Raw genomic sequence first — 24,049 nt, forward strand, 5'->3', positions numbered from 1 at the left:
CTGGATAAAGAAAATGTGGTACATATACACCATGGAATACTATGCAGTCATAAGAAAGAATGAGATGATGTTCTTTGCAGCAACATGGATGCAGGTGGAGGGCCTTATCCTAAGCAATTTAATGCAGGAAGAGAAAACCAAATATTGCATATTCTCACTTATAAGTGGGAACTCAACACTGAGTACACATGGACGCAAAGAAGGGAAAAACAGACACTAGGGCCTACTTGAGGGTGGAGCGGGGAAGGAGGGAGAGGATTAAAAAACTACCTGTTGGTCACTATACTTACCCCCTGGGTGATGAAATAATCTGTACACCAAAACCCTGTCACATGCAATTTACCTATATAATAAGCCTGCATATGTACGTTTGAACCTAAAATGAAAGTTAAGAATGATGTTCTACAGCATTTTCTTCAAAACTTTACTCTTAGAGCCCATAAGCAAAATCCAATGTACTACTAGTTAACTTTAATCTCCCATTTGAAGTTTCCAATCTTATAATTCTCACAAAATCTATGCCTCTTAAACTCTAATATCCTTATATACTTAAATAACTCTGAAATAAACTTGGAAGTTCTATCTGTATTCTCATATTTCAACAGTGATTATCTTCCAATAATAAAACAGAACTACTCACTTAGAAGGCTTTTGAAAAAGGCCTAAATGGGGGCTAAATACAAAATGTCTATGTGAGTATTTGTCTATTCAGAATGTATTTTGGCAAATACGACTGCACAGTAGTAGAGTACTCATAATTTGTATTCCCGCTATTCGTCTGGCCAAGTTCAAGTTTCCTAAACTCTCAGATTCTATTATCATCTATGATGGTGATCAATATACCCCGTATTGAGAAGACCAAGCCATGAGTCTGAGCTTCTGCTAAATGCCTTTTCTAATTTAGTTTTTTCAAAGTTTTTGAGCGTTCTTTTGGGTTATTCAATAACATGGGGTTTCCTGATATTGTCTTATTCTCTATTTGTTTTTGTTCTTGTCCCTCCAAATGAATTCTAAATATCTGATGGTCAGAAACAGAATTAATTCTCAATAAAATTTTATAGGTATGGGTATAAGTGGGCACGTTGTTCTCTACCAAACCCCTAAACCCAGGAAACAGCCACCTCTAGTTGTCCGGCACTTGGAACAACCCTTCCCAGTGAAATGATGGAAAGAGGCACATTCAAGGAAAAATGTTCTGCATTAAAATGGTCACCTATTTTGCTGTGAACAATTTGTCTTGAGATAGTCTTCCCGATATTCCTAAGATTCCCCCTTATTTATCACTTCTCTCTCTGCAGATGTTCAGTCTACCTATCTCTTTCTTCTCCTTACTCTCTCTGCCTGTCCCAAATTTCTGGTTCCCCTAACTTGCAGGCCTCACATTACCTGAAACTATTCAAATATTTATAGAACACCTCTTATGTGCCAGACCCAATACCAGGCACTAAAAATACAGTCATGAGCAAGATCACCCAACATACACAGAGTAACACAGAACCTACAGAGCTTTCAGTCTAGTGGGGAAAACAATGAAAAACAAGGAATGACAGAGGGTGGAGGAATGCCTGTGGGCAATGGGAGCAGAGAGCAGGAGTAACTGTTCCTGCCTGGAGGGCTTTCTGGTGCTATGATGGGGGATGAGTAAGGAATTAAGTGAACAGGTGAGAGGATATTCTAGAGAGAGCTCGTGAGACAGAACTAGATTGATTTGTTTAAGCAACTAAAAGGAATTCCATATCCAGTGTTACCCAGTGTGAGGAGATCTTGGGGGTGGGGCCGGGGAAGAAATAGCCGGCTGAGAGTTTTAAGCTGGGGAGTCATGTGATTAAATTTGCATTTTAGAAGGCTCTCCTCCCTTCTTCCTGAGGACAGACTGAAGAAACATCCAAGGTGGTCTTGAAGGACACTGGGATCCTGTAACACAGGTAAAAGATAAAGACTAATGTAATTTCTATGGGGTTGGAGAGAGGTGGTCTGGTTTGAGAAATATTTAGGCAAAAGCATAACTGACAGGACTTGGTGGCTGATAATAGGTGGTGGTGTGGGAGAGAGAGTAGCTTAAGAGGACACCTGGTTTCTCATGAACGTGGCTGAAAGGCCAGTCAGGCCTTTCCTGGATGGTGGACATGGTGGGAGGAGCAGGCTTGAGTGTGGGGATGCCAAGTTAATCAAACTGAAGTTGGATATTGGATTTGAGGTGCCTGGGAGAGAGTGGAGCTCAAAGGAGAGATCATGGCATCTATATAGATTTGTGAATCTTTGGAACAGACAGATAGTAATTAGAGCCATCAGAATGGGTGAGATAATTAGGAAAATATGAGTTCAGCCAGAAGCCTCTCCTCAGCCCCACCACTTCAGGGACCTGTAAGCATGGCAGCAGCTCTGAGTGAGGGTCAGTGATTCCAGCCGAGGTGCAGAGACTTTTTAATAGCATTCCCTAAAGTGTAGTTACACTGAAAAATTGTTCCCCAAGAGAAACTACACACACACACACACACACACACACACACACACCACACAGTTCCATGCTCAGATAAGTTTGGAGAAATCTATATATTATTTCCCCTGCTTAGAGAATATTAAGGACTGACAAGTTCTGCAGTAAAGACCTTTTTACCTTCATTTAATTCAGTTTTCCCCACAAGACAGCCCTGGCTGGAGATTACTCTGGATCTGAATGTCTCAGGGTGAAGGAAGCGGGAGACAGCTAGCTTTCCCAGAGGCATGCCCGCAAGTCAGCACCGCAGAGTGCATCTATCTGTTCATTTATAAGATGAAAACATTGGGGCCCAGTGATTGCTTCCAAGTTTCATAGTTAGCTAGTGATACATTTGGGTTGTCACATACTCCTTTGACCCAATCTAAGAAAATTCCAGTGATGCAGCATAGTGAAACCAGAAACACATTTTTCAAAATATATTGATCACAGTGTTTCTCAAAAGGCCTTCTCTGTGACCTTGAATTTTAATCCTACCTCTGACATGTCTTAGTTGTATGAGCTTGGGCAAATTTTCTAACCTCTTTGAGCGCCTGTTTTCTTGTATATAAATAAGGATGTAACAGTAACCAGTAGGATTATTATTAGGTGTTACCATTAATAAACTGAGGCTGACAGATTGAGACTTGCTCAAGATCTCACAGCTAAAAGAGATAAAGCTGGAACTGAAACTCAGATCTTTGGCTCCAAATGTGGTGTTTCCTGTACTAACCAAATCATTTCTACCAGTGCCCCTGGGATTATGCCTTGGGGACTCACCTTAAGACAGTCTTGCTCTCGAGACAGAGAAGTCTGCAAATGGTGTCCAATTCAAGTCTAGAGACTGGCTGAAGCCAGACAGAGGGAGTATGAGGAGGGGGCAGAGAATCTTCAGAAAGACATTCCAAAGTCTCGGGCCTAGAAAATGTTTAGAAATATTGGTTCCTGTGTTCCCCTCCAGTCTGTCTACCTGAATGGGAAACTGGTGGTGGGGCCAGGCATACTTCTTTTTGAACAAATACACAGTTAATTCTGAGATGCCACCTTGATTGAGAAGCACTGTCCTTTTCTAAGCAAAAATCATTGCCAAATTACCCTAGAATCCACCACTGCTCACAGATCTGTGCCTGAACCAACTTGGTTTTGAAGTTTTCTTTTGTTTCACAAAACTAGTTTAGGGTGGGCTGTGAGAGGAAGCTTCTAAAAAGCCACTGGGAAAGTACTAAATCTCTGAGACTAAAGAGGGCGGACTCAGCCTCACTTCCTCCTTCTTCTCATCTGGGCTTCCTGTCGTCACAGCATGATCATATTTTTTCACCCTTCACTTCTCCTTTTACACAAATAGCCCCGGATATCTGTGTTACCAGCCTTGTCTCGGCCACCTCAAGGATAATCACTAAATTCTGCCGAAAGGACTGAGGAACGGTGCCTGGAAAAGGTAAGGTTGATGACGTTTTAACTTGGCTTGCTGTCTAATGTGGGGTAGGGCGTATTCTTAGGGGTCTCCATATACCTCTCTAGTAACCATAAAATCTCCGGCAACTTCTCTTTCACAAATATTTAGTGCACAAAGTAAAACAGATTAGCAAGATCCTAGTAACATCCCCAAAGGCAATCAGGCCAGAAATACTTTTACTTAATCAGGTTCCCATTATCTAAATCTCTGAGTCGAGGCATTCACATGCCTTAATTGCTTCAGAGCTTGAATTACTCTGTGTAGTAATTCCTGATGCCTGGAGCTTTCTATGCGAGATGACATTGGGGAGATTTCCTATGTGCTCTGGTCTTCAGAAAATTGGTCTTGTGATTTTAAAGTGAGGAAAGAACCCACAGCCAGAGCTGTCTTTAGAAAGACAGCTAGAAGACACAGTTCTTTTTCATTTGAGAAAATTTCAAAAGTAAATTTAGTGACTCCCACTGTGGTTCTTCAAAGCCACTAAATAGAAAGGTGGCTAAAAATCAAAACACCAGGATGTGCTCAGTAACTGTATTTTAAAAGGTGAAAGCTAGACATCTCTAAAGGATGCATAGATTGTTGGCTTTTAAGGAGCAGGAAGCACATTGGGATCCTCAGCATTTCCCCAAATTATCCTTGGTGTACAAAACATGACCACTGATAAATGTCACATGAAATGCACGTATAAAATGCAATCCCCAAAACTTGATACTGCAGTAATTTCCAATCATGTGCTGTAACTAATGACTGAGGTTGCATGGACTCAGCAAAGTGTTAGCAGAGCTTCGGTCCTGACTCTCTGTGACCACCATCGGAAACTCTATGTAAGAGCTTTCTTCTTCCAAGACCTGTGAGAATTTCACTTGATTATGCCCTGGAGCAGAAAGGAGAAAGTTCTCTTTGATTACACCCACCCATCTAAGTATGAGGATTGGGAACAGGGCAGAGGGCTCTAGATTTCCAAGAGGGGTGGGGACGGGGAGAGGGCTCTGGATTCCCAAAACACCTCAGAGTTTATTGAGCCTTGTATTAAAAAATAAAAAGCAGTCTTTTAAATAAATTCACTTAATAATCAAGTGGTAGGTGCCTCCTGAGGCCAGGCACTGTGCTTTGGGAATTGTGGGGGAGGGAGATGAAAAGGTAGAAGGAGAATATTTGTCTAGCAAACAGTCCTACTCTTAAGGAACTCCCATGGGAGATAAGAGATATCATACTATGCGTGTGCTTTGGAAGAAAGCTGAGAAAAAGCAAACTCCCAGCTGCTGGACAAACAAAGAGGTTTTGCTTTCTCAATCTTGAGGAGAATCTGTACTATTTTGAAATTGTGGTTGAATGGGAGCAAAGACTGAACTGAAACATTATTTCCTGTGATGTTTCCTGTGTGGGCCAGTTAAGAACACTTAATTTTTAAATGAAAGGATTGGGTACCTTTATATTCATGAGGAATGATTCCAAGTTCATGCCTTCACAGCTATGGTTACCACCACCTAAGTGACCTCACCTTTGTTCACTGACAAGAGGCACAAACTGGAAAGGACAAAGTCTGTTGGTCCTTGGTTTTTTGTGCCCTCTGATTGACCTCTGACTGCACAGAGGCCCTCGGACTCTGGTTCTCCTTTCCCACTCCTACCCCATGGCCAGATATGGCACTTGGTGCTGGAGATACAGGATAACAGAAAAGATTATCATCTGAAAGGAGTTGTAGAGTTTATTATGGATGACAGTCACAGCAATATACAAATACAGTGCAATGTGCTCTTTTCTATAATAGATGGAGAACGTGCACAAACTGTAGGAGTTAGGAGTGTGCCAAAAACTGCCTAGAGAGGTGACTGGTGGGTTCACTTTCACAGAAGTATGGGTTTGCTATGGAGACATTCTAGACCAAGGGTGCTGTATATTCAAATTCAAAGAAGTGTGTACCTCCAGGCATGTTAGAAATGAGAGAAAGCAAGTGAGACTGCAGTGTAACACACCATGTTTACAGAGCCACATGAAGTGGAAAGCCCTTTCTCCTACTTGGCACCAGAAAGTGGAGGGCAAGATCGCTCACCAGGCAGGTCCTAGGTCCAGCTCTGGGTGGGGCTATGCCCACCATGTTCACACGACAGAATTGATGGGATGTGGGTTTGAAATGAGGGAGAAGAGGCAGGTTTTTGCCTCCTCAACCTAGATTTTCACTTAGAGCAGAAGGAAGGGTGGAGCTTCTTGTGAGGTTACAGCCATTGTTTTCAGCTTAGCTTCTGTTCCAGGAAGTACTGCATTGATTCAGTTATAGTGGTTTGTTCTGCGTCCCTAGATTAGTCAGCCTAGGGCACTTCTTGTACCAAGCAAGCATCCACTGTGTGTAGATCACCCTGGGCCCTAGAGACTGGGCACCTGTCCTCAGGAAGCTCCTAGGACCCATCTGCCACTGCAGGTGCAGGGCACTGAAGCAAAGTAACCCAGAGAAAACAGACAGCTATGCAGAGCAGGACTCCAGCATGGCTGCTGGGGCAGAGGAGGGAAGGATTGAGCTGGAGGTTGGGTGGTCAGTTTGAGAAGGCTGTCTGGAGGTAGGTTTTGGGAAAGAGAAAGACATGCATTTGCAAAGCCAGTGGATGACCACTCAGAGTAAAGGCCAGGAATCTCTATACTGAGAGTTAGAGGTGAGTGCTCTCTCTTCATTATCCATTTCATAAGCACACAGCAGAATTTCTACCCAAGCAATAGCATCAATATGTCATAGCTCTGACCAAGAATTATTGTAAAAGAAAATATGACACAAGCATACATTTTTATAATCATTTAAAATGAGAGTGCTATATTCCAAGAATTAGAATATTGGTACTTCAAGCGAAGTTAGAGATTATTTAGATTCAAATAAAGTATCTTAACTCACAATGAGAGCCAATAAATAGGAGCTGTCGCAACTGTCCAATCTGCTTACTTTTCAGGTAAAATGACTTGTCCAAAAATCATAAAATTACTTAATAGTTATTCAGAATGTCTTCTGATTCTCTATGGCATGCTCTTTCTTCTACATTATACTATAGTCCCTTTTCTAAGAGATTTTTTATTAAGTAAGCATCATTAGACTGTATTCTTCATTTACATAAATTCCTAGTGCATTTTAACATAAGCAAACATAAAAATACCACTTAATTGTAAATGTAATTGATCTTAAGCTACTATGCTAGCAAACTAAATACTTAACATATATTTTATTTTCCAAACCTTTTTGTTTGGCCTTTTCTATTTCAGGAGAACTAGATTGAGGAATAGGGGTAAGAAATGATTTTAATGCCTCATATCTTTTAAAACTTGTTAAAGTTTACTTGTTAAAGTAAATTTGAACTTATGGCTTACCTTATATCAGGAGCAAATAAAGGCATTCAAGAATTATTCCATAGTTTAGTCTTCTTAAAATAACTATTGTAGAATCTCAGTATTTATAACATAGAAGACAAATTGTAATGATTTTGAGATGAGAATCCCTTAGATCATTTATTTATTTCCCATCCCTTTAAAAAAATGACAAAATTCAGACTGATAAAAAGGTTGAAAAAATATTATGAAAAATTTCTAAATCCTTTTCACCCAGATTTCCAAAATATTAACATTTTACTTCATTTGTTTATTCTCTGGCTCTCTCATTTGACAGTAATTAGTAATTTGATTGATGCCCTTTCCCCTAAGAATGTTAGTGTATATTTCTACAAACAAATGCATTCTCTTATATAACTACTTTACAATGATCAAAACCAGGAAATTAACACTTATGCAATATAATTAACAATCTATGTACTTTATTCAGATTCCACCAATTACCTCTTTAATATTCTTTATAGCAAAAGGAAATTTCTAGTCACGCATTGCCTTCAACTGTCACTTTTGTCTCCTTTAGTCTGGAACACTTCCTGAATTTTTCTTGCCATTGATATTCTTGAAGAGTAAGGTCAGTTCTTTTTTAGAATGTTTCTCCATTTGGGTTTATCTGATGTTTCCTCATGATTAGATTCAGGTTATTTAAATTTTTGATAGGAATACCAACAAAGTGGCTTTTCTTATCCCACAAAGAGTCTTGCTTAATCTGAGCATAGCCAGCCTGCAGACACCATGGACAGGCCTCTAGCCGAGGGACCCCGTATGTAAAGTTCTGCATATTTCTACCTAGGAGGACGGAGAACCTCTGGTCTCTTGACTCTGTAACAGTGCTAACTGTTTTAGGTAACTGTTCCTGATTTACGAAGTAAGCTTATTAGAAGAGTCCCTGTCCCACCTCAGCTGTTATTAGTATCTTGCTAAGCTCCCACATGGGAGGAAGTGAGCTTCCAAGATCATCTGGATTTGTCTTTCTTCACTTTTTCTCTCCTCTTTTCTTCTTCCTTATTTCTCTCTTCTTCTATAAATCGCCAAATCCTCTCCCCTAACAGCGACCTAGAAGAAACAAAATTTTTATCAGATTACAATTTTAGGAAGGAATAAGATAACAGATATTCCTTGATTAGTTGATGGAGAGATGAATGGACACGAATACATGAGAGTTGATGCTTTGGCTTCGTTTTATTTTACCCCTACTTCTTCCTCTACAACTGCTTATTACTCTTCAAAAGGACGTACAGCGATAACTTTGATTGCACCTCAGCCACTGCTCACAGGAGTTCAAACGAGCTGATGAAAAATGGAAGGTCTTCTCCTGGATGCTCAACACATTGCACCAAATGAGTTGGGAAGTAATAGGCACAAAACCAGAGCCTGGGACGGTGGAAAGAGCATGGGCTTTGGAGGCTGAAAGAACTTGGCCTTCACCCTGCCTTTGATGATTCTTAGCTGGGTGACCTTGTGCCAGTCCTCGGCTTCTCTATTTGCAGAATGGGGCTAATGACACCTAAGTTGTCAGGCCGATTTGAGGATTATAAATAAGACATTTATGAGGAACTTAGTTATTTTGTGGGATTCAGTGAACTATCTATTATGTATCTCAGTTTGTTTGAGCAAGGCCTACATTTGGGAGCCCTCACTGGGGCAGATTTTCGCTCCTATTTAGAAAAACTTTTTCTTAATCACAGCCTCAATTGTCTTTGCTAAGGAACAAAGACTGCCACAGGCTCTGTGTAGGAAGGGATAGGGAGCCGTAATTACCTTGCGAATGCTCTTGTATGTAAATTGACAATCTGTATATAGAGAAATGTATATGGAGAAGTGTCTGGAAAGACGTTTGCCAAAATGCTAATGATGGTTATCTCTGGGAGGTGGGATTTCAGAAGATTTTATGCTTTCTTCTTTATACTTTTCTTTATTTTTTAAATGTAGAATTTTTTTTTAAAGAAAGCATGCTTACATTTGCTTTCTATTGCTGGATTTTTCAACTTTTTCTAATAGGTTTGAATGGAGTAAGAAATGTGTTCTAATAATATATATTCTCAATCTTAGCTTACAAAGGTGTTTCTCTACCAAACACTTCCATTCACTGAAAGAAAACAATTTATGCATCTTAAAGAAACTGTGCTTACATTTGCCTTTTATTGCTGGGATTTTCCAACATGTCTTAACAGAGTTCAGTGGAGAAAGAAATGTGTTCTAATAACGTATTCTCAATCTTAGCATACAAAGGTGTTTTTCTATTAAACGCTTTTCTTCACTGAAAGGAAGTCTTACAGAAACTGTACTTGCATTTATTTATTTATCTTTTATTACTGAAATTTAACATTTTCAATTTGTTCTAATAGGTACAAATGGAAAAAAAACATGTGCTTTTCTTTATTGTTTGATTTCTTTTTGTTTTTTTATTTTTTTTACAAATGGCACACGAAACCTCTTTTTAAAACGTATGAAACAAGCAAGGGATTATTCTTGCCCCGTGTATGTTTTATTCCTAAAAATCTGTTAGAAGCTAAGGGTTACCCTTAGGAATGGACTGGTAGGTAAGGTCTGAACTTGATCTTTCAGTGAGTTTTCACTGAATAAGGCAGATACACAGGGACTGAGCCATCCTGGAAATAGTATCTCATTTAGCCCTCAGAACAACCTCTGAGGTAAGTATTAATAACCCTATTTCAAAGATATAGTGAAAGACAGGTTAAGCAAGTTGCCCAAGGTCACACTTCTGATAAGTAGCACTAACAGAATTCAAAACTAGACCTGTCTGATTCCAAAGCTAGTGTTTATCAAACTGTGTTCCACAGAATACTATGTTATTTGACCTGTTAATAAGTGATCTGCAACATAAAACTAGGTTTGTAGTTATATAAACATATTTTTGTCTTAGAGACTCACAGTGCACATTAGCATATAACAGGTTTTTCTCTTACACTGTTTTTTTTTCTTTATCTTGGCTTTTGTTTGAGGAGCACTTACTAATATCTCATAAGCGTAATGGTCTATGTAGCACCAAAGCTGTCTTATGTGGCTCCAGCCTAGCTTGTAATATTGGATCAGATAAGGCTGAAGATGAAGAACTGATAGAGGTTCTTTTTTTTTTAACTTAAAAAAATTTTAAAATAGAGACAGGGTCTCTCTATGTTGTTCAGGCTGGTCTTAAACTCCTAGGCTCAAGGGCTTCTCCCACCTCAGCTTCCCAAATGGCTGGGATTACAGGTGTGAGCCACCATGGCGAGCCTGATCGAGGTTCTTGAAGCCTCTATCCAACCTTAACCACTTCTAAGCTTGATTAAATTCAAGAGTAGATTACATGGTGCTGTTAGTACAGGTCAAAAAAAAGACAGGGATGGAATTAGAAATCCGCAGGTTCTACCAGCTCAAGCCCATTGGAGGAAACTAAAGAGCAAAGTTGATCCCTAACCTCCATGTTGAGTTGTGGAAGGTAGCCACAGTTAAGTGCAGTTTGGTCACGCAGGTTTCCTGGAAACTGATATTGGTGGCTTTTTGCATAGAACCATGAGTCATGCATCTAAGAGTCATAGACTTTGACTGTGGGAGGGGTGTCGGTTCCTCTAGATGGTAGTTGGAAGGGGTGGGAGGCTTAATCACTGCCCAGTAACAGTGAAAAGGGGAAGGGGAAACGGAGCAGCATTCTCTCTGGGGCCCTTATGGCATGTGGCAAAAGTAGTGACAATCTTCACCAGGTGAGAAGATTTTCTTACTCAATTTAGTATGAGTCTGGAGAGGTAGAAAGTGGGAGAGGAAGGAAGAAGAGGTTCTTCTTCCTGTCTGTGAAGGAAAGAATCAGTAGGAATGTCCCTAAGTTTGTGGGCACCTAGCCAGCTGGTGTTCTGTGGACAATCAGGTTACACGGGCCTGAACTAATTGTCACAGGATACCAGGATGTTGGGGCTGATGTGACTCTAGGAGGCATCTGGCTCAATTCCTTTCTGTTACTGATGGGTGAGTTAGTTATTTTCCTATGTCCAAAACATCAGTTTATTAGCAGACTGAAAATTCAAGCCCAAGGCTCCTGACTCTGCAGTGTCATGTTCATTCCACTACATCAGATAATTCTGAGGTAATGAGGCTTTGAGAATTCAAAGATGAATAGCATAGATCCTACCCTCAAGGAGCTCACATTCTAGTGAGGGAATAGTCACTTATAAAACAAAATGGTTAGTACAATGGCAGAGGTACACAGGTATTACAGATACTCCTTAGGGCAAGTGAGGGTTGGGTGTGAAGACTTAGACACAAACAGAGAGGACTTCCTGGAAAAGTGACACATCATTAGGATGATGAGTAACTAACCAGAATAAGAGGCCAGAAAGAAAAGAGAAAATTTCAGCAAAGAAACACATTACCAAAGTAAGGAAGGAAGCATTAAGACAAGGATTCAATATTGCTTTGCTAAATTTTAAAGTATAATACAGGGGGTGTTGCCATGAGTGTGGAGTGATGGACAGGAGCAAATTAGGAGGGGCCTTTGACGTAAGTGTACATGCATAAATCCATCACCACAGTCAAAACACTGAGCGTATGCATCACTCACCACAGATTGTTGTGGCCTTCTGTAATCCCTTTCTCTCACCCTTCCCTGCTCCCTCTCTACTCACCTCCTGCCCTCCCCCACCTTCATCCTCAGACAGTCATTGATCTGCTTTCTGTTGCTATAGATTAGTTTTCATTTTCTAAAATGTTATATAACTGGAATCATACAGAATGTACTCTTTTTTATTTAACCTCTTTCACTCACCATGATTATTTTTACATTCACCTGTGCTGTAGAGGGTAACAACAGTTCATTCTTTTTAATTGCTAAGTAGTTTCCATTGTAAAATTATACCACTATTTATTTATACATTCACTTGTTTATGGACATTTGGGTTGCTTCCAGTTTGGGCTATTACAAATAATACTACAAAACTATGAACCTTCCTGTACTAGTCCTAGTATGGACATATGCTTTCATTTCTCTTGGGTAAATACCTAGGAGTAGAATGGCTGGATCATATGATAAGTATATGTTTAACTTTGTACAAAACGAGCAAACTGCTTTTGAACATGGTTATACCATTTTACATTCCCACCAACAGTGTATAAGAGTTCCAGTTTCACTACATCCTCACCAACACTTGGTGTGGTCAGGTTTTGAAAACATTTTAGCCATTCTAGGAGATGTGGAGTGGTATCTTACCATGGTTTTAATTTGCATTTCCTTAATGAGTAATGAAGTAGAGAATTTTTTTCATGTCCTTATTTGCCATCCATATAGTATCTTCTTTGGTGAATTGTCTGTTCTGATCTTTTGCCCATTTTAAAAATTGGATTGTTTATTTTCTTACCATTGAGCTTCAAGAGTTGTTTTTATACTCTGGATACATGCCTTTTATCTCCTGTGTGATTTGGAAATATTTTGTCCCTTCTGTGCCTTGTCTTTTCATTCTCTTAACAGTGTCTTTTGAAGAGCAGAAGTTTTTAATTTTGAAGAAGTCCAATTTATCAACTTATTGTGCTTTTGGTGTCTTATCTGAGAACTCTTTGCATAACCAAGGTTGCAAATATTTCCTTCTGGAGAATTATAGTTTTGGATTTTACCTTTAGATCTATGATTCATCACTAGTTACGATTTCGTATGGAGAGAGGTATAAATGCAAGTTCATTTTTGCATATTAATAGACAATTGTTCCAGCACCATTTGTTGAAAAAAGTATTCTTCATTCTGTAATATATTAATTTTGTATTTTTTTTGAAAATCAGTTGTCCATATGCATATGGACTCTATTCTGTTCTCTTGATATATTTATTTAACACCAGTGCTATCCTGTCTTTATTGTTGTAGTTTTATAGAAAGCAATATAATTAGGTAGTGTTTGTACTCCAATTTTGTTCTTTATCAAACTCATTTTTACTATTCTAAGTCTTTTGCATTCCCAAATGAATTTTAGAATTAATTTCTTGAAGCCTACAAAAAATTCTGCTGTAATATTGATGGGGATTACAATCTATAGATAAATTTGGAAGAATTGACATCTTAAAAATATTGAATTCCTGGTAGATGGACGTGGTATATCTCTCCATTATTTGCATCTTTTCAATTTCTTTCAGCAATGTTTGTTTTTAAGTTTTCAGTGTACAATTCTTTCACAACTTTTGTCAGATTTATGCCTAAGTATTTCATATATGATGCTATTGTAAATGATACTTTTAAAAATACTTGATTTCTAATGGTTACTAGTGCATAGAATGCTATTATTTTTTGTGGATTGAATCTTGTTTCTAGCAACCTTGCTACACTTACTTGTTAGTTCTAGTAGTATTTTTGTAGATTTATTTAGATTTTCTACAAAGACATTCATGATATCTGTGAACAAAGCCAGTTTTACTTTTTTTTCTTTCCAGTTTGGATGCCATTCTTTTCATATTTCATTTGCACTGCCTAGAAACTCCAGTACAATGCCAAATAGAGTAGTTAAGAGTAAACAGACTTATTTTCCTCCTTATATAAGGGTAAGGCATTTGGTGTTATACCATTAAGTATGATGTTCTTAATTCTATGCCCTTCATAAATGCCTTTTATAAGTTTGCATAAGCGTTCTTCTATTCCTAGTTTGCTAAGAGTTTTCATCAAAAATAGATGTTGAATTTTGTCAAATAAATTTCCTGTATCTATTGAGATGATAATTTATTTTCTCTTTCAATTCATTAATATGACTAATTAAGTAGTTTTTTCAATGTTAAAATAACCTTGCATTCCTGAGAGTAGCCCCATTTGTTCATAATTTCTTATCATTGTTCTATATCGTTAGATGCTTTTTACTAAAATCTTGTTTATAATTTTCACATCTTGTTCTGAGGAACATTGGCCCGTGGTTTTATTTCTTGTAATATCTTTCTGCTTTTAGTATCTGAAAAGTCTGGCCTCACAGGATAAGGTAGAGAGTGTACCCTCCTTTTCTATTTTCTGGAAGACTTGATATAGAATCAGTATTATTTCTGCCTTACATGTTTAGTAGAAATCATCAATAAGACATCTGGACTAGCAGTTTTCTTTATGGGAAGACTTTTAAACTCCAAATTCAGTTTCTTATTAGAGATAGGATTATTCAGGTTATCTATTTTTTGAGTGAGACTTGGTAATTTGTGCCTTTCAGTGAATTCATCTATTTCATCTAAGTTGTATTGGCATGAAGTCATTTATTATATTGACTTATATTTTTGATATCTATAGAATTTGTAGTGTTGTTCTCTCAATCCTAATATTGATAATCTTTGTTCTCTATTTTAAAATTGATTACCTGTGTATAAGTTTATCAATTTTATCAGTCTTCTAAAAGAGCCAACTTTTGTGGGGTTTTTAAAATTGTTCTTCTGTTTAATTGATTTCAGTGCTTATCTTCATTATCTACTTCCTTCTGCTTATTTTGGGTTTAGTTTGTTATACTTTTTCTAGTTTCTCAAGATGCAATCTGAAGTCATTAATTTGAGACCACTTTCCTTTCAGCTATAGACATTTAGCACTAAAATTCACCCCAAAATATTGCTTTAGTGACATTCCCACATTTTCAACATGTTTTTAAAGTTTTTCTCAATTCAGAATTCTAATTTTCTCTTTGATTTCTTCTTTCATCTATGAACTATTTAGAAATATGCTATTTAGTTTCCCAATTTGAGGAAACTTTCTAGGGATATTTCTGTTATTGATTGCTAATTCAATTCCTTCTAAATTTGTTGAAACTTGATTTATGGTCCAGAATGGTCTATCTTGGTAAATGTTTCATGTAACCTTGAAAAGAATGTATGTTCTGCTGTTGTGGGGTGGAGTGTTCTATCACAATCAGTTAGTTTAAGTTGACTGATGCTGTTGTTCAAATATTTACTGCTTTTCTGTCTACTGATTCCATCAACTATTGAGAGAAGGATATTGAACTATTCAAGTATAACTTATACTTGTCTATATCTTCTTTCAGTTCTGTTCATTTCTGTCTCATAAATTTTGACTAGGTGCAAAAACACTTAGGATTTTTATGTTTTTTAGCTCAATCAGTCCCTTTATAAAGTAATCTTCTTTATCCTTGATAATTTTTTCTGTAATAGTGTTTGTTTTAGTCTAATATAGACACTCCAGCCTTTTTTTCCCTTTTATTAGTGTTAGTATGGTATATCTTTTTCCATCCTTTTACTTTAAAATGTATTCGCTTCTTTATATTTTAAATGCATTTTTTTGTAAACAACATAATTGGGTCTTGTTTTTTCAATCCATCTATTTATTCCTGCTTCATATTTTAAGTATTCAGACCATTTCATTTACTGTGATATTGGTATGGTTGGGATTTTAGCATATTTGTTTTTTATTTGTCTCATTTTTCTACTTGTTCTTTATTTTTTCCCATTTGTTGTTACCCCTTTTCTCTTTTTCTGGCTTCTTTTGATTAATCGAGTATTTTTTAAGATTTTTACCTTCAAGTGAGATTTCCACTTTACATATAAGAAGCTCACAGTAGTATACTTCCATTTCTCCCTTCCCAGTCTCTACACTATTATTATCATAAAGTTTACTTTTACATTTATTATTAATGCAATGCAATACTGTTACTATTTTTGTTTGAACAGTTCAGTATCTATTAAAGAGATTTGGGCAGGCGCGGTGGCTCACGCCTGTAATCCCAGCACTTTGGGAGGCCGAGGCGGGCGGATCACAAGGTCAGGAGATCGAGACCACGGGGAAACCCCGTCTCTATTAAAAATACAAAAAATTAGCTGGACGTGGTGGCAGGCGCCTGTAGTCCTAGCCACTCGGGAGGCTGAGGCAGGAGAATGGCGTGAACCGGGGAGGCGGAGCTTGCAGTGAGCCGAGATCGCGCCACTGCACTCCAGCCTGGGCGACAGAGCGAGACTCTGTCTCAAAAAACAAAAAACAAACAACAACAACAAAAAAAGAGATTTAAGACGAGGTGCGGTGGCTCAAGCCTGTAATCCCAACACTTTAGGAGGCTGAGACAGGCAGATCACCTGAGGTCAGGAGTTCGAGACCAGCCTGGCCAACATGGCGAAACCCCCTCTCTACTAAAAACACAAAAAATTAGCTGGGCGTGGTGGTGCATGCCTGTAATCCCAGCTACTCAGGAGGCTGAGGCATGAGAATTTCTTGAACCTGAGAGGCGGAGGTTGCAGTGAGCCGAGATCACACCACTGCACTCCAGCCTGGGTCACAGAGCAAGACTTTGTCTCAAAAAAATAAAAATAAAAATGAATTAAAGAGATTTAAATAACAAGAAAAAAAGTATTGCGCATTTATTCCTGTAGTCACCATTTCTGGTGCTCTTTGTTCCTTTGTGTAAATCTGTAGTTCCATCTGGTCTCATTTTTCTTCTACTTAGAGGATTGCTTTTAACATTTCTTGTAGTATGGATCTACTGATGAGGAATTCTTTCACCTTTTGTATATCTTAAAGTCCTTTTTTTAAGTTATTAAAATGTATTTTTATTGGGTATAGATTTTTAGTATGACAATTTTTTTTCTTTAGTATTTTAAATGTGTTGCTCCACTTTCTTCCAGCTTGCCTGTTTTCCAATAAGAAGTCTGCTCTTATCCTTACAATTGTTCCTTAGTCCATAACATGTCTTTTTTTCCCCTGGTTGTTTTAAGATTTTCTTTTTATCACTGTTCCTTGAGTACTTTGATTATAAAGACCTTAGTGTAGCTTTCTTCATGTTTCTTGTGCTTGGAGTTCATTGAGCTATTGAGCTTCTTGGTTCCATAGGGATATTATTTTCATCAAATTTAGGATTTTATTTAGTCATTATTTCTTCAAATTATTTTTCTATCTCTCTTCTCTCCTCAATTTTAGAGACTCCAGTGACATGTATATTAAGCCACCTGAAATTATTTCTCAACTCATGATGCTCTGTTCATTTAAAACATTTTATTTTCTGGCCAGGCATGGTGGCTCACACCTGTAATCCCAGCACTTTGGGAGGCCGAGGTGGGTGGGTCACTTGAGGTCAGGCATGCGAGACCAGCCTGGCCAACATGGTGAAACCCTGTCTCTACTAAAAATACAGAAATTAGTTGGGCATGGTGGCACGTGCTGTGGTCCCAGCTACTCGGGAGGCTGATGCAGAATTGCTTGAATCCAGGAGGTGGAGGCTGCCGTGAGCCAAGATCACGCCACTGCACTCTAGCCTAGGCAACAGAGCGAGACTCTGTCTCCAATATATATATATATATATATATATTTTTTTTTTCTGTCTGTGTTTCTTTGAGGATATTTTCTCTTGCCGTCTTCAAGTTCGCTAGTTTTTTTCTTCAGCAATATCTAATCTGCCATTAATCCAATCCAATGTATTTTTCATGTCACACATTGTAGTTTCATCTTTAGAAGTTTGATTTGAGTCTTTTTATACTTTCCATGTCTCTATTTATGTTTATTTTATTTTATTTTATTTTGAGACGGAGTCTCGCTCTGTCACCCAGGCTGTAGTGCAGTGGCGCGATCTCGGCTCACTCCAAGCTCCGTCTCCCGGGTTCACGCCATTCTCCTGCCTCAGCCTCCCGAGTAGCTGGGACTACAGGCGCCCACCACCACGCCTGGCTAATTTTTTCTATTTTTTAGTAGAGACGGGGTTTCACCGTGTTAGCCAGGATCGTCTCGATCTCCTGACCTTGTGATCCGCCCGCCTCGGCCTCCCAAAGTGCTGGGATTACAGGCGTGAGCCACCGCGCCCAGCCTATTTTTTTGAAAACATAGTATCTGGCTTAATGGCTTTACTAATCTAACACCTGGGTTGGTTTTCATCTATCGCCATATTATAGGTTGTACTTTCTTGCTTCTTGCATGCCTGATATTTTGAGTGAATCTATGTGTAAATTTTACTTTGTTGGGTGCTAAATATTTGGCATTCCTATAAATCTTATTGAGCTTTGTTTTAGGATGCACTTAAGTTACTTGGAAAGTGTTTAATATCTTGGGCCCTTACTCTTAAGATTTGTTGGGTAGAACAGTGTTCAGTCTAGAGCTATCTGTTCCCTATTACTGAGGCTACATCCTTCTGTGTACTCTAGCCTGTGAATCTTGGAGTTTTCCAGTCTGACTGGTGGGAATAGTCACTGGTGCTGTGTGAATGCCAGGCACTGCTCAGATGGTACCTATCCTTGGGCAGTTTTGTACATGCAGGTGCTAATCAGGACTCAGCTAAATTCTTAATGGACACTTTGGTAGACTGAATAATAGGCCCCAAATATGTCCATGCACCTTATAGGGCAAAGATGACTTTGAAGTTGTGATTAAATCAAACATCTCGAAATGGGGTGATTATCCTGGATTAGCCAGGTGGTTCTTATCTAATCATATGGGCCCTTATAAGAATGAAGCAGGAGATAAGAGTGGAAAGTAGCAGATGTGATGACAAAAGCAAGAAGTTGCACGATGCAAGAAAGGAGGTAAGGAATGCAGGTGACTTTAGAAGCTGACAAACACAAGGAAACAAATTCTCTCCCTGAGCCCTTAAGAAGAAATGTAGCCTAGCCAACAACCTGAATGTATACTTCTGACCTTCAGAACTGTAAAATAATAAATTTGCGTTGCTAAGGCACGAAGTTTGTGGTAATGTTTTAGCAGCAATAGGAAACTGATGCAAGCACCCGCTGCGAATCTCTGGGGTTTGCTCTCTGTGCACCTTTCTTTTGTACATTGCGGTGTCCTGTAAACCCTAGCTGCCTTGGTCTCCTCAAAATCTCAGCTCTGCCAGGCTCTCCCTCTATGCTCCATGGTTTGGAAACTGTCTGTGAATATAAGCTGAGGCAATCACAGGGCTCACACCATTTATTTCCCGTCTCTCATGGGTCCGTGCCCTTCATTGTCTCACATTCAGTGTTTTGCAGACCATTATTTTATAGTCTACATTTTTTAGCTGTTTCAGGTGAGGGGGTAAATCTGGTCCCTGTTAATCCATTGGCCAGAGGCACATTTCCCAAATATATGATTTTATATTTTTACGTTAAGAAAAGGAAAATGAAAAAGGTGAAATGAATTTTAATAACATTTTAGTTATCTCAATATGTACAAAATACTATAATTTAAAAATGTAATCCATATTGAAAAATTACTGATATAATCCTTTTTGTACTAAGTGTATATTTTACACTTATAGCACATAGTAATTCAGACTAGCCAGATTCTAAGTGCTCAAAGCTGTAGCACAGCTCTAGGGTACAGTGAATCATGAGAGTCTGTGTTTAGCTGCTCAAGGGGACTACATTCATTTGAATGTTTCAGCTTTTATGTCCTCCACCATGAAATATTCTTTGATCAACCCAGCTGCAAATCTTTGCATCTTCATGGCCTTTGTTACTGTTCTTTGGGACTTGACATATTTTATCTTTTATTGATTGATGTAGCTTGTGCAAAGGGCAACAGGAAGGATTCTCAAGAATTTGGAAATGAGGACTGGCAAATGTCACATTCTAAGAGTTAATTTAATTTTTTTAAAATTCTAGATAAAATGAATAAGATTATTTATTCATAGATGTGTCTTACTCTATGAGATATTTTGTCAGTGTGATACTGATAAAGGGCTGGGAAACACTCAAATTCATCATTCACTCCTGATAAACAGAGTAGTTCTTTAAGACTCAATAATTGGCCGGGTGTGGTGGCTCAAGCCTGTAATCCCAACACTTTGGGAGGCTGAGACGGGTAGATCACCAGGTCAGGAGTTCGAGATCAGCCTGGCCAACATGGTGAAACCCCGTCTCTACTAAAAAAAAATACAAAAATTAGCCGGGCGTGGTGACGGGCGCCTGTAACCCAGCTACTCGGGAGGCTGAGGCAGGAGAATGGCTTGAATCTGGAAGGTGGAGGTTGCAGTGAGCTGAGATCATGCCACTGCATGCCAGCCTCGGCGAAAGAGCAAAACTCCGTCAAATAAATAAATAAATAAATAAATAAATAAATAAAGACTAAATAATCATGGGTTCAATTTATTGAGTACCGGTCTTGCTGTATGCCAGTCTGTGTGATAAGATCATTTAATATTCACAACCACCCTATAAGGGATAAGTGTTGGCCCGTTTTACATAGGAAGAAATTGTGACTGGAACTGTTAAGTTGGTGTGCAATTCTCACACAGCTGTTTAGAGGCATATGTAAGAGGAAAATTCAAGTTTGACCCCAAAGCCTGGGTAGTAAATCATTACACTTTACTTCTGATATATATTCAAATGCATTTATAATCTAATTTATTTTATTTTATTAAAGTAATCATGTAGATTTAAGAATAATCCTGAGGAGTAAGACAAGAAGAAAAGAGGGGAAAAGAGCACAAAGTAAAGGAAAAGGATATGAGATAGATACAAGTATTTGGTGTTTACAACAGAGAAATTCACTTTATTGTGGAAGAGAAGTAGCTCATCAGGCTTATCTACAGCCTGGATGAACTATTCCCTCAAGACCATGTGATTCCCAGGTACCTTGAAACTGCAAAGGAGATACTATGGATTGCACAAGTGACCCATGCACTGGAAAAGGCATAATTTTAATGGAAAAAAATCACTGCCCCAACATTCTGCTTGATATATCAGTCCTGTGCACGGTTTTAAAAATGAGTCACTTTATAGAATATCATTACCTCTGACAGAAAATTCAAAATTCTGGCCAGGTGCGGTAGCTCATGCCTGTAATCCCAGCACTTTGGGAGGCCGAGGCAGGCGGATCACCTGAGGTCAGAAGTTTGAGGCCAGACTAGGCAACATGGTGAAACTTCGTTTCTACTAAAAATACAAAAATTATCCGGGCATGATGGTGCATGCCTTTAGTCTCAGCTACCTGGGAGGCTGAGGTGGGAGGATCACTTGAGCCTGGGAGGTGAAGGTTGCAGTGAATTGAGATTGTGCCACTGCACTCCAGCCTGGGTGACAGATTGAGACCCTGAAAGAAGAAAGAAAGAAAGAGAGAAAGAGAAAGAGAAAGGAAAGGAAAGCGAAAAGGAAAAGTCAAAATTCTGTATCTGGATTTCTAGAATTGAGAACCAGACATTGGACATTGATGTCCTCACTAAGAAAATGATATTCTAGTTGAAAAAAATAAAGCTTACATTGCTATCTCTTTTTACTTCCCCATTGCATATTTGTTGGCTTGTTTTATCTTTGCTGTAAGACTGTTGTCTTCTGGAGGATAGCTACTGCTTAGTCATGGTTGCATCTTCCACAACATCTAGAACAGAAAACATAAATGTTTCTGCAATAAAAGAATAAATGAGGCGTGGATATGTTCCCCCTACTTTCATGTGGAGAAGTTTACTGATCAAATGTAGCATGTACATAAATCACAGAGTATTTAAGAAACTGGCTGATCAAGCTGTTGGCTTTCTTGATGGCTGATTGACCAGTCCATCCCTGACTTCAAGGGCTTAAGTGCCCAGGCACTAGTTGCTAATGCTGCAGTTAGAGCTAAAGCACTGGCCTGGTCTCTGTCACTGTGACTCATCCTCTTCTAAGAATGGCTCTATTTTCTTCTACAATACTTAATTCAATGTTAAGCATTGTTGGCTTGCCGAATTGGGCAAAAACTGAATGTCTAAGATGAGCCAGTTGGTATTTCAGTTTAGAACTAGGAAAGCGCAGAGTTTGGGGAAACTTTCCAGAGGAGAGCCACAGCTCAAACCCAAGGTAATGCTAGAGATCCCTGAACATTTGTGCACTCTGATCTCTGGCTACCTTACAGAGTGAGGTAACTTACTTTCTTCTTCCTTATTCCTTAGGGCAAGAATATCACGGCATGGGCATGAGTAGCTTGAAACTGCTGAAGTATGTCCTGTTTTTCTTCAACTTGCTCTTTTGGGTAAGTGTATCTCTTCTGAGCACGGTTTAGCTCACCTTTACCCAGCTAAGCTCTCCTCATTCCTCTACTGAAGAGGCTGGTGTGGGGTAAAATGCATGCGTGTTTGGGTCATGTCCAGCACAACCATCCTAGAAACAAAAGAGTAATAATTTTTCCCCTCTTCCTGCCACAGAATAAACCTGCAAAATTGAAAGGTACCAGTGCAGTTATTAATGGAGGTGCTGTTTCTCTCTGAGGGCTTTAGTTTACTACTACTCGTAGCTAACATATATAGGTGAGAAACCTGAGACTGTGCTCTGGATATTGAGTGCCTCTGTTTTTCTTGTCTTTTTTTCTAGATTCCTTGAAACAATAAGTGATTGAAAGGAAAGTCACCCTTTCCAGGGAGGTTTCACTGTATAAAATTCAGCAATTGAATTTCAGATATAGGATGGGTTGGTACTTGTGTATATGAGAAGATTATTATAAGTTTGGCTTCTCTAGTTTTCTGCCTAGCAAGATGAGCTTCCTCAAGCAGGGCATCTTCTCTACATGGTCATGGTTTCTACAGAGAAAGCCATGTGTGAGCGACTGAAAAGATAAGGAAAAAGAAGTTAGACCTATATATGGTGAAGATACTGTGTGGCTCACAGAAGTGATCTTTCCTTGGTATCTGGAGATGGGTAGGAAGAGTTGTGAGTAGGTCTCCACATGAGAAAGCTGAGATTGCCTCTCCAATGTAAGCATGGAAAAGTTTGGTAAAGAAATTGTTCATGAGACTCTTGATTGAGCCAGTTAAAAATAAAGTGATTCTGATCTCAAGGAAGTGAGAATATGAGGAGATACCCAAGAACCACATTTTGCTTCAGGATGTTGTGGGATTCTTCCTTTCAGATCTGTGGCTGCTGCATTTTGGGCTTTGGGATCTACCTGCTGATCCACAACAACTTCGGAGTGCTCTTCCATAACCTCCCCTCCCTCACGCTGGGCAATGTGTTTGTCATCGTGGGCTCTATTATCATGGTAGTTGCCTTCCTGGGCTGCATGGGCTCTATCAAGGAAAACAAGTGTCTGCTTATGTCGGTGAGTCCTTACAGCAGATGTGGTGCCCCAAGTCGGGGAGATGGTGCCTAAATCCCAGGCAAGATGTTTCTTGGTAGATCACTTATAGGCACAGAAAGATCATAGGAAAATGAGATTGGTACCTCAGATCAGCCAAGTCTGCCCAGACCAATAGTATATTATGTATGACTAGGGTCCCACGGACAGGTGAAAGAGGGCATTGCTATCCCCCTTGTAGCCATTTTTATATTGCTAATAATGACTTTTGTCATTATTGTAATTCCCCTTTATAGCATTTTATTTTTTCTTTATGTCTGGATGAAATCAGGTGTCATCCATCTTCCAAAATCCTCCTCATGCTAGCTATTATTATGTACTTTCAGATTCTGACTGAGAGTCGCTAACTAATGGAAAATAATTTCTAGGCTCTTTCCTCCCCAAATGCCAAAGGATGCTTCCTTAACTCATGTCTGCACAAGATACTCCGTAGAGAGATCCAACTTAGGTGAGGGCTCTGGCTGCAGCCATTGAGGTCTAATGTGAGAGATGCTACAGCCTTTTGCATGTTCCCTATCAGGTACTATCCTGAGGAGTACCTTAAGGCTTAGGTTTTGCCTGTAAGCACAGTGCCTGTAGAGCACTGAGCTCTACATTTCTGTAGTGTTCCCAGAACAGAGCTTGGTGTAACAGTGCCACTCTACCAATAGGCGTGGGTTTCTAATCACATTGGTTCTTCCTTAAATCATTTGGTTAATCTTTTTTCCATTATGGTTCAACATTTTGGTGGTGGTTTTTTGTTTTGTTTTTTTCTTCTTGTTGTTGTTTTGGAGATGGAGTTTCACTCTTGTTGCCCAGGCTGGAGTGCAATGGC

General features: G+C 39.0%; 2 protein-coding genes across 7 annotated transcripts in view, besides 4 other annotated features; one reads left to right on the plus strand and one right to left on the minus strand.

Annotated features, from left to right (window-relative positions):
* Window positions 1-1,875: 1,875 nt before the first annotated feature.
* CD53 (CD53 molecule) overlaps window positions 1,876-24,049 on the plus strand; it is a 28,713-nt gene continuing 6,539 nt past the window's right edge. For 4 of the 6 annotated variants that reach the window (NM_001040033.2, XM_047435014.1, XM_047435013.1 and 1 more), the window contains exons 1-4: window positions 1,876-1,925; window positions 3,822-3,914; window positions 22,058-22,137; window positions 23,011-23,199. In NM_001040033.2, the coding sequence (NP_001035122.1) occupies window positions 22,075-22,137; window positions 23,011-23,199 (252 nt within the window). In that variant the 5' untranslated portion in view covers window positions 1,876-1,925; window positions 3,822-3,914; window positions 22,058-22,074. Of the gene's footprint in view, window positions 1,926-3,813; window positions 3,915-22,057; window positions 22,138-23,010; window positions 23,200-24,049 lie in introns of those variants that run through there. The other 2 variants (NM_000560.4, NM_001320638.2) reach the window with 1 other exon arrangement.
* Window positions 3,015-3,064: an enhancer, noted in NCBI's record as "active region_1476". NCBI's record gives its function as "activates an Ori minimal core promoter by ATAC-STARR-seq in GM12878 lymphoblastoid cells {active_cell/tissue: GM12878}" and the evidence as "EXISTENCE:reporter gene assay evidence [ECO:0000049][PMID:35858748]".
* Window positions 3,665-3,774: an enhancer, noted in NCBI's record as "active region_1477". NCBI's record gives its function as "activates an Ori minimal core promoter by ATAC-STARR-seq in GM12878 lymphoblastoid cells {active_cell/tissue: GM12878}" and the evidence as "EXISTENCE:reporter gene assay evidence [ECO:0000049][PMID:35858748]".
* Window positions 5,287-5,336: an enhancer, noted in NCBI's record as "active region_1478". NCBI's record gives its function as "activates an Ori minimal core promoter by ATAC-STARR-seq in GM12878 lymphoblastoid cells {active_cell/tissue: GM12878}" and the evidence as "EXISTENCE:reporter gene assay evidence [ECO:0000049][PMID:35858748]".
* Window positions 5,623-24,049, minus strand: part of LRIF1 (ligand dependent nuclear receptor interacting factor 1) — an 88,966-nt gene continuing 70,539 nt past the window's right edge. The window contains exon 4 of the mRNA XM_017001769.3: window positions 5,623-8,351. Within this exon, the coding sequence (XP_016857258.1) occupies window positions 8,301-8,351 (51 nt within the window). The 3' untranslated portion in view covers window positions 5,623-8,300. The remainder of the gene's footprint in view (window positions 8,352-24,049) is intronic.
* Window positions 7,893-8,187: a silencer, noted in NCBI's record as "tiled region #4566; HepG2 Repressive non-DNase unmatched - State 24:Quies". NCBI's record gives its function as "represses a minimal TATA promoter and a strong SV40 promoter by Sharpr-MPRA in HepG2 and K562 cells {active_cell/tissue: HepG2 | K562}" and the evidence as "EXISTENCE:reporter gene assay evidence [ECO:0000049][PMID:27701403]".

Source organism: Homo sapiens, chromosome 1 (assembly GCF_000001405.40).
Source record: "Homo sapiens chromosome 1, GRCh38.p14 Primary Assembly".
NCBI classification, from domain to species: Eukaryota; Metazoa; Chordata; class Mammalia; order Primates; family Hominidae; genus Homo; species Homo sapiens.